Genomic DNA, 15,581 nt, shown 5'->3' on the forward strand with positions numbered 1-15,581 from the left:
GAGCCCACTGTCAATAGTTTAAAATACTGACAAATAAACAGATGGTTATAATAGTACAAAAAGGGTTCTGATAGAGTATTCACAGCTTGCTGTGAAAATACATTGAAGGGGCAATTAACAAAGACTCAGCTAGCTTGTGACGGGATATAGGGAAGGTTTTTGATATGGTCTGGCTGTGTGTCCCCAGCCAAATCTCATCTCAAATTGTAATCCCCACGTGTCAAGGAAGGGGCCTTGTGGGAAGTGATTGAATCATGGGGACATTTTCCCCCATGCTGTTCTCATGATAGTGAGTGAGTTCTCATGGAAGTTGGTGGCTTTAAAGTGTGGCACTTCCACGTTTGCTCTCTCTTTCTCTCTCCTGCCACCATGTAAGACGAGTCTTGCTTCCCCTTTGCCTTCTACCATGATTCTAAGTTTCCTGAGGCCTCCCCAGCCATGTGGATCTGTGAGTCATTAAACTTATTTTATTTATAAATTACCTAGTCTCAGATAGTATCTTTATAGCAGTGTGAAAATGGACTAATACAGATTCCTAATATTTTTGCCTTTTTATTTGTATTCAGGTGACTCCTTCTTGTTCTAGTGTTAGGGCATGTCAGTGACTTAACTAATTCACTTAGCAAATACTTATTTTATATATTTGAGTCATGCAGAAGAAAGAAAAAAATGTATAGTCTCATGAGCAGAATCAGGCAATAAACAATATATATACGTAAAACAAATAGTATTTTAGAAGAGTCAAAGTGTTACAGAGAAAAAAAAAAGCAGGGGAGGGCAATAGGGAGAATTAAATGGGCAGTGTCAGATGGAAAGAAAAGGTGGCATTTTTTTTTTGAGACAGAGTCTCACTCTGTCACCCAGGCTGGAGTGCAATGGCATGGTCTTGGTTCACTGCAACCTCTGCCTCCCGGGTTCAAGCAATTCTCCTGCCTCAGCCTTCGTAGTAGCTGGGACTACAGATGCGCGCCACCATGCCCAGCTATTTGGTTTTTTTTGGTTTGTTTGTTTGTTTGTTTTGTATTTTCAGTAGAGACGGTGTTTCACCACGTTGGCCAGGCTGGTCTCAAACCCCTGACCTCAAGTGTTCCACCCACCTCGGCATCCCAAAGTGCTGGGATTACAGGCATGAGCCACTGCACCCTGCCAGGTGGCAAGTTTTAAATGCTATCACTCTGAGTGAGATCTCAAGCCAAAAATTATGTTTTAGCAGAGGAATGCCAAGATCTGATTTCTGTTTCAACAAGATCACCCTGGTTGATGTGTCAAGAACAGACCTATGAGGCCAAGTTTGTAAACAGGGAAACTCTTAGCACCCTGGTTGATGTGTCAAGAAGAGATTTATGGGACCAAGTTTGTAAACAGGGAAACTCTTAAAATAATCAAGACAGGAGAATATGTATCTTGAATCGAGTTTGTAGCAATGGGAGTGGGTGAGAAGTGGAGAGATTCTGTATATATGTTAAAGATATTACTTAGAGCATTTCTGGATGGTTTTAAGATTGAGAGGAGGGAGAAATCAAGGGTGACTCCAGAAATTTTGAGTTGAGCAACTAGAAGGATGGAATTAACATTAACTCAGAACTTAAAAGGAACAGAAAATTATGAGAAGAAGAAAAAATTGGGAATTCAGTTGGGTACCTAATAGTATTGCGATACTTAGCCAAATGGAGATCTTGATTTGGCAATTAAATATATGAGTTTGAGGTAGAGAGGATAGCTTAGAACGACTGCAAAAATTGGGAAATCATCAGCTAATAGATTGTGAAGGCCTAAGGCTGCATGGCATCACCTAGAAAGTGAGTGTAGATTTTTAAAAGGGTTCGAAGACTAAGCCCTGTGGCATGACAACATTACGAGTCTGGGCAGATGAGATTGAACTAGGAAGGAAGACTGAGAAGGAGTGGCCAGTGGGGTGGAAGGAAAATTGGAAGTATAATGTCAGCAGCCAAATGAAGGAAGTTTTTGGGAAAAAGGGAGTCATCAACTATTTCAAATGCTGCTATATGTTAAATAAGATGAGGATGGAGGATTTGACACTGGATTTAACAGTGTGAAGATGATTCCTGGCATACCTAAAAGTAGTTGTGGTGGAATGGTAGAGTCAAAAGCCTAATTGGAATGAGATCAAGAAGAAATGGAAGGGGAAGAATAGAAGACAGTAAGTAGACAACTTTTGCAAACCAGTGCTAGTATCCTCTGATAGACAAAGGCCTTCTTAAGCAAGCACCCATTCTTTCTTTGTACTTACAAACAAAAGGAAATGGAGTCTTGACTTGGGAACTTTTTTTTTTTTTTTTTTTGAGATGAAGTTTTTGCTTTTGTTGCCCAGGCTGGAGTGCAGTGGCGCGATCTCGGCTCACCACAGCCTCCTCCTCTAGATTAAAGCGATTCTCCTGTCTCAGCCTCTCGAGTAGCTGGGATTACAAATATGCGCCACCACACCTGGCTAATTTTGTACTTTTAGTAGAGAGGGGGTTTTTCCATGTTGGTCAGGCTGCTCTCGACCTCCCGACCTCAGGTGATCCGCCCGCCTCGGCCTTCCAAAGTGCTGGGATTACAGGCGTGAGCCACTGCGCCCGGCGAGTTGGGAACGTTTTTTTATAGGAGAGACAGAAGCAGGGAGAAGAAATTTGGAATGGAATTCAGCAGGAGGTTCTCAAATTTAGATGAGACACTGTGTTATTGGGATCTTTCAGTGTGCAAGGAACAGAGTTGTGTTCAGGTTGACTGAGTTCAAGTTCAAAAGTGTTCATTGGAAAGATACACAGACAAGTGGAGGACAGGAGAGATTCTCCAAGAAGAAACCCAGTTTTACTCCTATCCCCTCACCAACATATGTTAATTGCTCCCTATTCTAGCAACTCTACCACATTCCTGACTCAGCATTTCTGTTTATCTGCTTCTTCTGTTCCATTTTGATTATTGCCCACTGACTTCTTTGTAGTCTCCTCTCATGTGACAGCTTCTGAATAATCCTGGATTCTACTGCCTCATTCTCGTACTTCTTGTTTTGTCTCATTCTGTTTCTGCTCTTTTCTATATCTCCAAATTAAAATTCCCCAAGAGAGAGATGATTAGATTGCTTTAGTTCTTGTTCTCTATATAGCTGGCCCTAATCCCTGGTTAGTTGTGGTCAGCATATTGGACTCATGCGGTTCCTATTTATAAAGAGAAAATCGTGGGAATGGTGTCATGGGTATTGGTAGACATTCGGAACTTTACAGACTCCTCCTGAATACATTTGTTGAGAGTAGAATAAGTTGAAAAGTGTCATAAATACAAGCAAAAGATGGATAAAAATTACTTCAAATTTAGTTTTTTAAAACTTTTTTTTGAGAAGAAAAACATCTATAATACATCTTTGAATTATATACAGACAAGCATGAATGCTGAGGTAGATCATGTTTACATATACTCTATACATAGGAATTTACCTCACCAGCAAAAATGGATATAGGTGCATTTCACTACTTAGCCTCTCTGAGATACTAATCATACCTAATTCATGGGGAAGGAAGTGCCTAATTCAAAGACATAAATCCCCAGTGATGACATTTCAGTTATCAATGTAGGGCTTTTTTGTTACCATCTTCAAATGACATCTACTTACTCTATGCATGCAGATTCCAGAGATCTCAGAAAACATTTAATTTGTCTTCTTAGTGACATTAGACCTTTAAAAATAGTGAGCAATTTTTGCTGGCAGTTCTATCACGTGAATCCTTACTTTTCAGCACTTAAAACCTCTATCAATTCACCCTGGATGTCTTGCTTATAAATGTTCCTAAGTTGTAGAGTACAGCTCCCAGCTGAATCATAAATTCTTCCAGGGCAAGTTCCACATCTTTAACTTCTTTTGTGTTTGCTTCTAGCATTTAGTAGTATTTAGTGGAGTTCTCTTCACACACACCATGAATGTTTTGTTTTGACTTCGTATGTCCACGACGACTTTCAGGCACACCTGCAAAAGGGAGTCTTTTATTGTAATGGAGAGTGGAGTTGCCGACAAATTCTTTATAGAAAATGAATTTTCCTTTAATTTAGGAATGTATATACAAAATCCAAGGAGACTTGGCTTAATTGGTTATCCAACATAACCATTAAGTCTATATTTTTCTGGATTGATTTTTTTTATATATAATTCTTACTCTACAGAAAACTAAAGTATGAGTTATCCTCCAACATGTAGAAAAACAAACAAAAAATCAGCCCAAATATGTGTTAAATGTCATTGAGTTGATTTGTTTTTCCCAGCTGCATGAGGATATTAGGGATGACATCACTGTGTGTATACAATATATTTCAAATCCCTTTTTGGAATGCAATGACAGTTCTATTGCTATAAAAGTATTATACTACTAAATAATTAACTAGGAAATTATGAAAAAACATAATGGAGAATAAAAGACAATTGCGTAAGCATTTATTCACAACAAAATAGTCTTTTATAGTTGATTATGTTTCTTTTTCTATGACTGAAGAACAAAATATCAATTATGGGCAGATGGCCATTAGCATAATCCATAATGCCAGAAGACAAAACAATGCTTTGTATCTATCACCTTTGATTGGTAGCATTATGTTTTATTAGAGTCTGTATAAATAACAATGAGTAACAGAATATGGGCTTTGACAAAGCAACAGTTTGCTCTTAAATAGCGGCATTTCTGTTTGGAAATAAAGGAAGAAAATATTTTACAAATCCAAATTGTATCAAGATGATGGATTTCCTGATTTCCTCAAACTAAGGGCACACACTCGGTATACAGCAGTCCATTAAAATAAATAATTAACAATTCCATGAAAATCTTCTTTAACCAATAAAGCAATTCAGATGTTTTAACATAAAATCAAATGGCGTAAGGGGTATATCCACAGCCTAAGTGTTTGAAGGAAAGTACAGTGTCAGACTTGTCTTAGATTTCACCTAATGGGACTTTGACAGCCTTGGCTGTGATTTCCTTAACCTCCATCACCCCCTACTCTATTTCCACCAGGAGTAAAAGAAAACAAAAGTTACAGACAACAAAGCATTAGGGACCTCCATTCTCAATATTTAAGATGTTTCTGTGGCTTAGATTGGCTGACTCATAACTAAAAGTAAATTCAGGTGAACATCTTCCCTAAACAAAATCTCTGTAGGAAGAATAGACAAAGGGTATTAAAGATGACACTGAAAGTTCTTTAATTCCACTGGAGTACAAAAGTTACAATTACTTTTTTTTTTCCAAACAAAAAAGTTGTAATGAAAAAGAAAAGACATTAACAATTTTTTTAAACAGTAGGATTTGGGCATGGGGCCGGTTGATCTTAAAAATCCTACTCCATTCATTCACATCAAGCTGTCCAAACCTAGTAACTGGAAAGGTCCCATGATGCTGGGCTCTAAACATTGAAAACAAAGACTAGAATTATAGAATTATCTCTTATTTTCCTTTTCCTGAAAATTCCATCTTCAACTGGGGTCTATGGGCTCAAGAGCCATATTTACGAACCAAAATTCAGGACACATATTCTGGTACAGGGACAATAGATGGTGTGAAAAATATCCAGGATATCTAGCTGTTGAAACTGCAGCCCTCCCAATGACTCTAATACTCAAGGGATTAAAAGCACAGCCCCAGAAGTTTTACATACAAAAATAGTAACAACCCAACTAAATTTGACTGCATTAAAAAAAATAATTATTTCTAAATCTGCTGAGCAGCTGAACAGTCTTCAGTGATGCCTACTGTCACTGGGATTCGAAGACTCCCGCTCCCGGGAGCGCCGGGCCCTTTTATGCCTATGGGATTTATCTCGGCTCCTACGTCTTTTAAAAAAAAAATTATTATACTTTAAGTTCTGAGGTACATGTGCAGAACGTGCGGGTTTGTTACACAGGTACACATGTGCCATGGTGGTTTGCTGCACCCATCAACCTGTCATCTACATTAGGTATTTCTCCTAATGCTATCCCTCCCCTAGCCCCCCACCCCCCGACAGGCCCCAGTGTGTGATGTTCCCCTCCCTGTGTGCATGTGTTCTCATTGTTCAACTCCCACTTATGAGTGAGAACATGTGGTGTTTGGTTTTCTGTTCTTGTGTTAGTTTGCTGAGAATGATGGTTTCCAGCTTCATCCATGTCCATGCAAAGGACATGAACTCATCTTTTTTATGACTGCATAGTATTCCATGGTGTATATGTGCCACATTTTCTTAATCCAGTCTATCATTGATGGCCAGTTGGGTTGGTTCCACATCTTTGCTATTGTGAACAGTGCTGCAATAAACATACATGTCCATGTGTTTTTATAGTAGAATGATTTATAGTCCTTTGGGTATATACCCAGTAATGGGATTGCTCGGTCAAATGGTATTTCTGCTTCTAGATCCTTGAGGAATCGCCACACTGTCTTCCACAATGGTTGAACTAATTTACACTCCCACCAACAGTGTAAAAGCATTCCTATTTCTCCACATCCTCTCCAGCATCTGTTGTTTCCTGACTTTTTAATGATCACCATTCAAATTGGCATGAGATGATATCTCATTGTGGTGTTGATTTGCATTTGTCTAATGACCAGTGATGATGAGCTTTTTTTCATATGTTTGTTGACTGCATAAATGTCTTCTTTTTAGAAGTGTCTGTTCATATCCTTCCCCCCACGTTTTGATGGGGTTGTTTTTTTCTTGTAAATTTGCTTACTGAGTGGGCAAAAACTGGAAGCATTCCCTTTGAAAACCAGCACAAGACAAGGATACCCTCTCTCACCACTCCTATTCAACATTATATTGGAAGTTCTGGCCAGGGCAATCAGGCAAGAGAAAGAAATAAAGGTATTCAAATAGGAAGAGAGGAAGTCAAAGTGTCTCTGTTTGCAGATGACATGATTGTATATTTAGAAAACCCCATCGTCTCAGCCCAAAATCTCCTTAAGCTGATAAGCAACTTCAGCAAAGTCTCAGGATACAAAATCAATGTGCAAAAATCACAGGCATTCCTATACACCAATAATAGTCAAACAGAGAGCCAAATCATGAGTGAATTCCCATTAGCAATTGCTACAAAGAGAATAAAATACCTAGGAATACAAATTACAAGGGATGTGAAGGACCTCTTCAAGGAGAACTACAAACCACTGCTCAAGGAAATAAGAGAGGGTACAAACAAATGGAAAAATATTCCATGCTCATGGATAGGAAGAGTCAATATCGTGAAAATGGCCATACTGCCCAAAGTAATTTATAGATTCAGTGCTATCCCCATCAAGCCAACATTGACTTAGAAATTAGAAAGTAGAATTAGAAAAACTACTTTAAATTTCACATGGAACCAAAAAAGTGCCCGTATAGCCAAGACAATCCTAAGCAGAAAGAACAAAGCTGGAGGCATCATGCTACCTGACTTCAAACTATACTAAAAGGCTACAGTAACCAAAATAGCACAGTACTGGTACCAAAACAGATATGTAGGCCAATGGAACAGAACAGAGGCCTCAGAAATAACACCACACACCTACAACCATCTGATCTTTGACAAACCTGACAAAAAAGAGCAATGGGGAAAAGATTCCCTATTTAATAAATGGTGTTGGGAATACTGGCTAGCCATATGCAGAAAACTGAAACTGGATCCCTTCCTTACACCTTATACAAAAATTAACTCAAGATGGATTAAAGACTTAAACATAAGACCTAAAATTGTAAAAACCCTAGAAGAAAACCTAGGCAATACCATTCAGGATATAGGCATGGGCAAAGACTTCTTGACTAAAACAGCAAAAGCAATGGCAACAAAAGCCAAAATTGACAGATCGGATCTAATTAAACTAAAGAGCTTCTGCACAGCAAAGGAAACCATCATCAGAGTGAACAGGCACCCTACAGAATGGGAGAAAATTTTTGCAGTCTATCCATCTGACAAAAGGCTAATATCCAGAATCTACAAAGAACTTAAAGAAATTCGGCTCCTACTTTTACTTCTATGACTACGCCCTTCAGAACACCCATTGTACTGGCTAGAATGTGTGTCTGAGCTCCGCCCTCTGTCCCTATTACTGGTCTTTTCTTCTCTTGCCTCCCTCCTGCTTGAGGACTTGTGCTCATGCTTGGGTTTCTCTTTCTTCAGGTCCCTCTCTAGGTCCTCTGCTCCACCAGAGTAGGCAGTCCTGGCCTTAGGGAGCTTCATCCCCTCCCTGGGCTCTGACTTCTGAGCTCTCTCTGAGTTCTTGCTGCTGTGCTTCTCAGGGCCAGGGTCATCCTTTTCTTTCACTGTCTTGCTTCTGGGTGATGAAAGAGGATGGTTGCTCTGCCTGTACCTCCCAGCCAATTTTCTCTTTTTCTTTTTTTTTTCTTTTTGTCATTTTTGTGCTTTTTTGTTGGTTTTTCATTTTCAGAGCTCAGACAAACTTGGTGAGGGAGTACAAGCCCCACAGCCCTTCTCCTGGAGCTCTTTGGTCACATTATCCATTTCTTCTGAGTCCTTAGGAGTCCAATAGTTAGACACATGATCCACTCGGATAGTTCTTCCTTTGATCTTGATCCCATTAAAATTGTCAATGGCCAGAATTGTGCTCCTCTGGCCTTCATAGCAGAGGAAACAGAATCCTTTGGATTTCCCAGTCTTCTTGTCCCGCATGAGATTGATGTTAACAATCTCCCATATTGTGAGAACACACAGATGATGTCCCCTTCAGTCAGTTCATAAGGAAGCCCTCCCAGGAAGATCCAGGCACTGTCCTTGTACTCGGAAGGCCAGGACATCTTATCGGCCACCCCAAGCTGGACCTCTCGCTCATTCAGCTAGTTGATCGGCTTCATCTTAAAGGGTTCATCTCTGCGGGCTCGCACTCAGCGTTCAGGTATCAGAACAATCACTTTTATAACCTGTATGAAATAGAGTAAAGCACCAGCAAACCTGCAAGGGGACAAGTTTTAACTGTAACTGTGTCAGTTAAGGAGATAACTGATGGTTGGGAAAACAGAAAAGTATCTATGGGGTGAGGGGCATAGGGACTCTAAGTAACAGGGGAGAGTCTTTTGGACAGAACTCAGCAGAAATTGTTCCTTTCTCCTACTTATATCCAACAGGGTAGCCATATTGCAAATATATTTTCCAGCAAATGTATTTTGCAGACAGCATTACCAGAGCCAGTTTGCACTAAAGAGAGTTGCAGTGCCAGCATTCCACAAATCTGTGAAGATAGCAACTAGAGTCATAGAAATATAAGGACAGGAGGTTGAGCAACTGCCATTATATGAAAAAACTCTTTGCAGTTAATATTTTGGAACTTAATGGGTAGACACTATAGACTAACTAAGGAGATCCCTCTCACTGTCTGGCAGCACTTCCCCTACAAATCTCTATATATTGCAATAAAAGCATTTATTCTGATCATAAGAATTATATGTGCTTATCATGGAAATTTGAAAAATACCTCAAAATATTAAAAAGGGGAACATTCTATCATCCAGTGATAATAGCTTGTGTACTGATGTGTATTCACCCAGCCTTTTCTTCCACTGAGAATGATGTATATGGCTGTGTGTGTGTGTGTGTGTGTGTGTGTGTGTGTTTTAAAATCGATATCATATTCCAAAAACAAATCTCTTTTTTCACTTAATACATGAGGAACATTTCCCATGTCATTAAATATTCTTCAAAATTTCATTGTTAATGACTGCATAGTGTTCAGGTTTTCTGTATAACTGTTAAGCATTAGTATATGAAACATTTTTCTCTCTCTGTAATTATTACTTGCAATAGCTAATGCAATGAAATAGGAAAATTAAATATGTAGTGTACATTATTATTATTTTTTTTTGAAAGGGAGTCTCGCTGTGTTGCCCAGACTGGAGTGCAGTGGCACAATCTCAGCTCACTGGAACCTCCACCTCCCAGGTTCAAGCGATTCTCCTGCCTCAGCCTCCGGAGTAGCTGGGATTACAGGCACCTGCCACCACACCTGGCTAATTTTTGTATTTTTTTTAGTAGAGACGGGGTTTCACCATGTTGGCCAGGCTGGTCTCAAACTCCTGTAATCCCAGCACTTTGGGAGGCCGAGGCAGGCAGTATACATTTTTGAATGTGGGACAAAATTAATATTATTTGAGAATATTATTATTTTATACGTAGAAAAACACAAAGCAACCCAGTAAATTAGCTATCAGGGTGAGAAAATTTAGTAAGTTAGCTAGAAAAAAGATTAGATTTGTTTTATATTGACAATATACAATTAGAATTTGAAATGGAAAGAAAAAGAAATCACACTTCCAATTTCCACAAAAATGATAAAATAACAAGAAATACAGTTTTTGTTTGTTTGTTTGTTTGTTTGTTTGAGTCTCGCTCTGTCGCCCAGGCTGGAGTGTAGTGGCACAATCTTGGCTCACTGCAACCTCCGCCTCCCGGGTTCAAGTGATTCTCCTGCCTCAGCCTCAGGAGTAGCTGGGACTACAGGCGTGTGCCACCATGCTCAGCTAATTTTTGTATTTTTAGTATAGACAGGGTTTCACCATGTTGGCCAGGCTGATCTCAAACTCCTGACCTCAAGTGATCCGCCTGCCTTGGCCTCCCAAAATGCTGGGATTACAGGCATGAGCCACCACGCCCGGCCAAGAAATACACTTTATAATGAAAAATTATAAAAGAACATATTGAAGCCATACCTGAATAAATGAACAGACATAGCACTGTCCTTGGAAGGAAGAAAATACTATAAAGATGTAATGTATTCCAAAATATAAATTAATTTTCTGTTGTTTGGATTGAATTTTCAAAGATATAATATGTTTAATATGACATGAGATAAAATGAGACTATGTTGGTTTTTATGAAAATCATATTTGAGGGCTCTGGGGGTAACCTCTAGGCGTAAGGTGCCCTCCAGAACAGTTGACACTGAAGCACAAGACATCCATGTGAATGCTGATCTTCAATGAAATGTTGAAGGCCATAGAAAAAGCACATGAGCAGCAAATCACAGAATTAGACATAATGAATTGCATATTTTGAATTGCAATCAAAATGGTTTACTACTTGAATAGCAATCTAAGGTTAAAAAGCTACGATTTATTTATTTACTGATAGTTGACAATGCTAATTCTCAGCTATAGAATTAGTTAATGTATTAATGTTTCAATCAAAATCCAAGTGGATTTTTTTGCAATATAACAAATAAATTTAAAGTTAGATGACAGAAGAAATGTACAAGAAGCACCCAGATATTTTTTAAGAAGAATACTATGAAGGGAATTGACCTATCAGATAGCAAAGTACATTTTATTTTATTTTATTTTATTTTTTTTTACATTTTTTAAAATTATTATTATACTTTAAGTTTTAGGGTACATGTGTACAATGTGCAGGTTAGTTACATATGTATACATGTGCCATGCTGGTGCGCTGCACCCACTAACTCGTCATCTAGCATTAGGTATGTCTCCTAATGCTATCCCTCCCCCCTCCCCCCACCCCACAACAGTCCCCAGAGTGTGATGTTCCCCTTCCTGTGTCCATGTGTTCTCATTGTTCAATTCCCACCTATGAGTGAGAAGATGTGGTGTTTGGTTTTCTGTTCTTGCGATAGTTTACTGAGAATGATGATTTCCAATTTCATCCATGTCCCTACAGAGAACATGAACTCATCATTTTTTTATGGCTGCATAGTATTCCATGGTGTATATGTGCCACATTTTCTTAATCCAGTCTATCATTGTTGGACATTTGGCTTGGTTCCAAGTCTTTGCTATTGTGAATAGTGCTGCACTAAACATTCGTATGCATGTGTCTTTATAGCAGCATGATTTATAGTCCTTTGGGTATATACCCAGTAATGGGATGGCTGGGTCAAATGGTATTTCTAGTTCTAGATCCCTGAGGAATCGCCACACTGACTTCGACAATGGTTGAACTAGTTTACAGTCCCACCAACAGTGTAAAAGTGTTCCTATTTCTCCACATCCTCTCCAGCACCTGTTGTTTCCTGACTTTTTAATGATTGCCATTCTAACTGGCGTGAGATGGTATCTCATTGTGGTTTTGATTTGCATTTCTCTGATGGCCAGTGATGGTGAGCATTTTTTCATGTGTTTTTTGGCTGCATAAATGTCTTCTTTTGAGAAGTGTCTGTTCATGTCTTTCGCCCACTTTTTGATGGGGTTGTTTGTTTTGTTCTTGTAAATTTGTTTGAGTTCATTGTAGATTCTGGCTATTAGCCCTTTGTCAGATGAGTAGGTTGCAAAAATTTTCTCCCATTTTGTAGGTTGCCTGTTCACTCTGATGGTAGTTTCTTTTGCTGTGCAGAAGCTCTTTAGTTTAATTAGATCCCATTTGTCAATTTTGTCTTTTGTTGCCATTGCTTTTGGTGTTTTAGACATGAAGTCCTTGCCCATGCCTATGTCCTGAATGGTAATGCCTAGATTTTCTTCTAGGGTTTTTATGGTTTTAGGTCTAACGTTTAAGTCTTTAATCCATCTTGAATAAAGCCACTGTAATCAAAGGAGCATGCTGTTGACAAAAGAATAGACAAATGAATTAGTGGAATAGAAAAAAGAGTCAAGAAATACTTCCAAGTATACAGAGGGATGAACTATATTAAAATGAATATATCAAAGAGGTGAGGGAATGAAGGATTATTCAATGTAATTGGGTCCATTGAATACACACTTGGAAAAAATAAATTTAGTTTCTTATTTGTAAATATTTTGAATGATTATCTGAACTTAATATAAATGGAATCACATAGTTTAAAAAATGTAATGAGGTGAAATGGATATCATACGAGGAAATATAGGACAATATTTTGTAAATTCAGTCTGAGTATACATATCCTATCAGGATAAAAAATCAAGAAGGGATAAAATATAAACTTGATCAATTTAATCATGTAAATATTAAAATCTCCTACACATCCAAAGGTTCTACAAATACACTAAAATGACAAAACCCAGGAGAATACATTTTTAAAATATAAGACAGAGATAAAACGTTTACAGCTCTAATACACAACAAAATCCTTCAACTCGGTAATTAGTAATTGATTATACAAAATATGATTAATAAAATTTAAAATGGGCAAAGAATATAAACACACTATTCACATAATTAAAATAATAACAATCATATGAGAATATGTGCAACCTCAATAACTGTCAAGGAAATAAAAATTGAATTATCAAAAGGATATAATATTTTGAAAATTATATGCAAAATTTAGAAGGTTAAGAAAATGTGAGAATATCTACTTCTAGAAGAGAAACGAGACAACAGCAATATTGCACAGATATTTGGCAGGAATATAGATTTGCTCTAACCATTTGGGAAAGTAATTTGGCAATGAGTATGAACATTTTAAGAACGCATAAACTTTGATGCAGCTATTGCACTTGTAGGAATTTACCTCATTAGGTTAAATGGATATACGTGCATGGAGGCTCATTATAGCACCCCTCAGTGTCCTCGACATTGCAAAGCTCTTTATTGTCCGAAAACAATTGAAATCAGTTGTCTTTCTGAGCCAAGATAATTGACATTTAAATTTTTATCCAAAAAGCAGGCATCCAAATAATGCTATGAGACTTGGACATGAGAAAACCACTTTGCCCAACACAGTTAATCCTTTTGTGAAATTTCTGGAAATACATGGAACTTCATAGAAACATTTTCTTAAAATCCCAACAGTTGACATGAGCATTAAGGGTAGACAAAAATATTGTTCAGTCTGTAACATTGTTACTGCATACACTGCATGGTATAGTATGATCCTGATCTTCCACCAACTTTCTTACTGCCCAGCTGACAAAGATATAAGATCAACTCAACTATTAAAGAAGTTCTGTTTAGTAATGCTTTCAGTAAGTTAATTTGGATAATTGGTCATATTACAATGTCACTTGTACAAATTAAGTCTTCAATAAATATATTTGAATAAATAAGCTAATATTCTTGATTGAGGGTAGTAATTTGAACATGGGAAGGGGAAAGACGTAAACCAGTCACCCAGGTATCTGTCGCATGTCTTAATTTCTAATTTTTTTCTCCAAATATTTTCAGTTCACACTTTGTGTCAGTCACCATTCATTTATTCAACAAATCTTTACTGAGCACCTACGATAAGCCAGGCACTATTTCAAGAACATAGGACACACAACAGTGAATAATAGAGATGATAAAGTTTACACAGTATTGGGAATTCCCTAGCCTAGACCTTTTACTAACAACATCTACCTAAAGGTTTTTTCAGCCTATTTCGGAAAAACAAAAACCTCCCCATAGGGACTTCTTCAAAAGCTGCAACTTGTTTTCGATTTCTTCATTCAAGCCACACATTTACTGAAATGCCTACTATTAGGAGCCAGGCACTGCTCTAGGCATTGGAGAAACATCAGCAAACAAAAAAGACAAAGTCTTTGACCTCAAGAAGATTGTGTTCTAGAAACAAACAAAATACAAAATAATTTTAGATATTGATAAGTGTCACGAATAAAATGCAGAGGGCTGTATGATAAAAGTAATTGGGAGGAAAAGGCTTTAAAAGCTAGGGTGATCTGGAAGGCCACTCTGTGGAAATGACATATAAAACAAAACCCGAATGACTAGAGGGAGCCAGCCATGGAAAGATCAATATGAAGAGCTTTCCAGACAGAAAGAACAGCTCTTCCAGAAGAATAAACTTGAGATGTTCTAAGAACAGAGAAGAGCAGAGTGATCAAGAGTGGAAGTGATTGATAAGAGATGAGTTCAGAGAAGTGGCAGGAGACCAGATAATTTTTGACCTTGTAGGCTAGGCTAAAGAGCGTAATTTTTATTCTGTATACAGTGGACAGTCACTAGAAGGTGTAGAATAGAGTAGTGATAAAATAAGATTTACTTTCTTTTTGAAAACCCAATATTTATTTCTTCCAGCTTTATTGAGGTATAATTGGCAAATAAAAATTGTATAAAGTATGAAACATGTTTTTATAAATGTATATATTGTGAAATGATTACCATAGTCAAGTTAATTAGCATGTCCATCACCTCACATAGTTACCTTTTTTTGTGGTGAGAAGATTTAAGATGTATTTTCTTAGCTAATTTTAAGTATACAATATAGTATTATTGATTATAGTCACCATGATCTACATTAGATTTCCAGAACTGACTCATTCTGCATAACTGAAACTCTGTACCTTTTGACTAATATCTCCCTATTTCCCCCATATCCCTGCCCCTGGTAACCAGCATTGTCCTCTTTGCTTCTTTGAGTTCACCTTTTTAATAGAATCCACATAAAAGTGAGATGATGCAGTATTTGTCTTTCTGTACCTTGCTTATTCCACTTAGCATAATGTCCTCCAGGTTCATCCATGTTGACTCTAATGATAAGGTTTACTTATTTTTTAGGGCTAAATGGAGTGGAATATATATGGAGTGGAATATTATTCACTTATGTTTCTCCAGTGGCTACTGTGGGGCATATATATTACATATATATATATACACATATGTATATACACACACATATATATATATACACACATATATATATATACATATATATATATATCTAGCATTGTGCTCTTTGCTTTTGCTTTTTTGCCTCTTTGCTTCTTTG

General features: G+C 37.6%; 1 pseudogene; it reads right to left on the bottom strand.

The window, feature by feature from the left end:
• On the bottom strand, positions 5,232-8,853 carry RBMX2P2 (RBMX2 pseudogene 2; annotated as a pseudogene).

This window comes from Homo sapiens, chromosome X, assembly GCF_000001405.40.
Source record: "Homo sapiens chromosome X, GRCh38.p14 Primary Assembly".
Classification (NCBI taxonomy): Eukaryota; Metazoa; Chordata; class Mammalia; order Primates; family Hominidae; genus Homo; species Homo sapiens.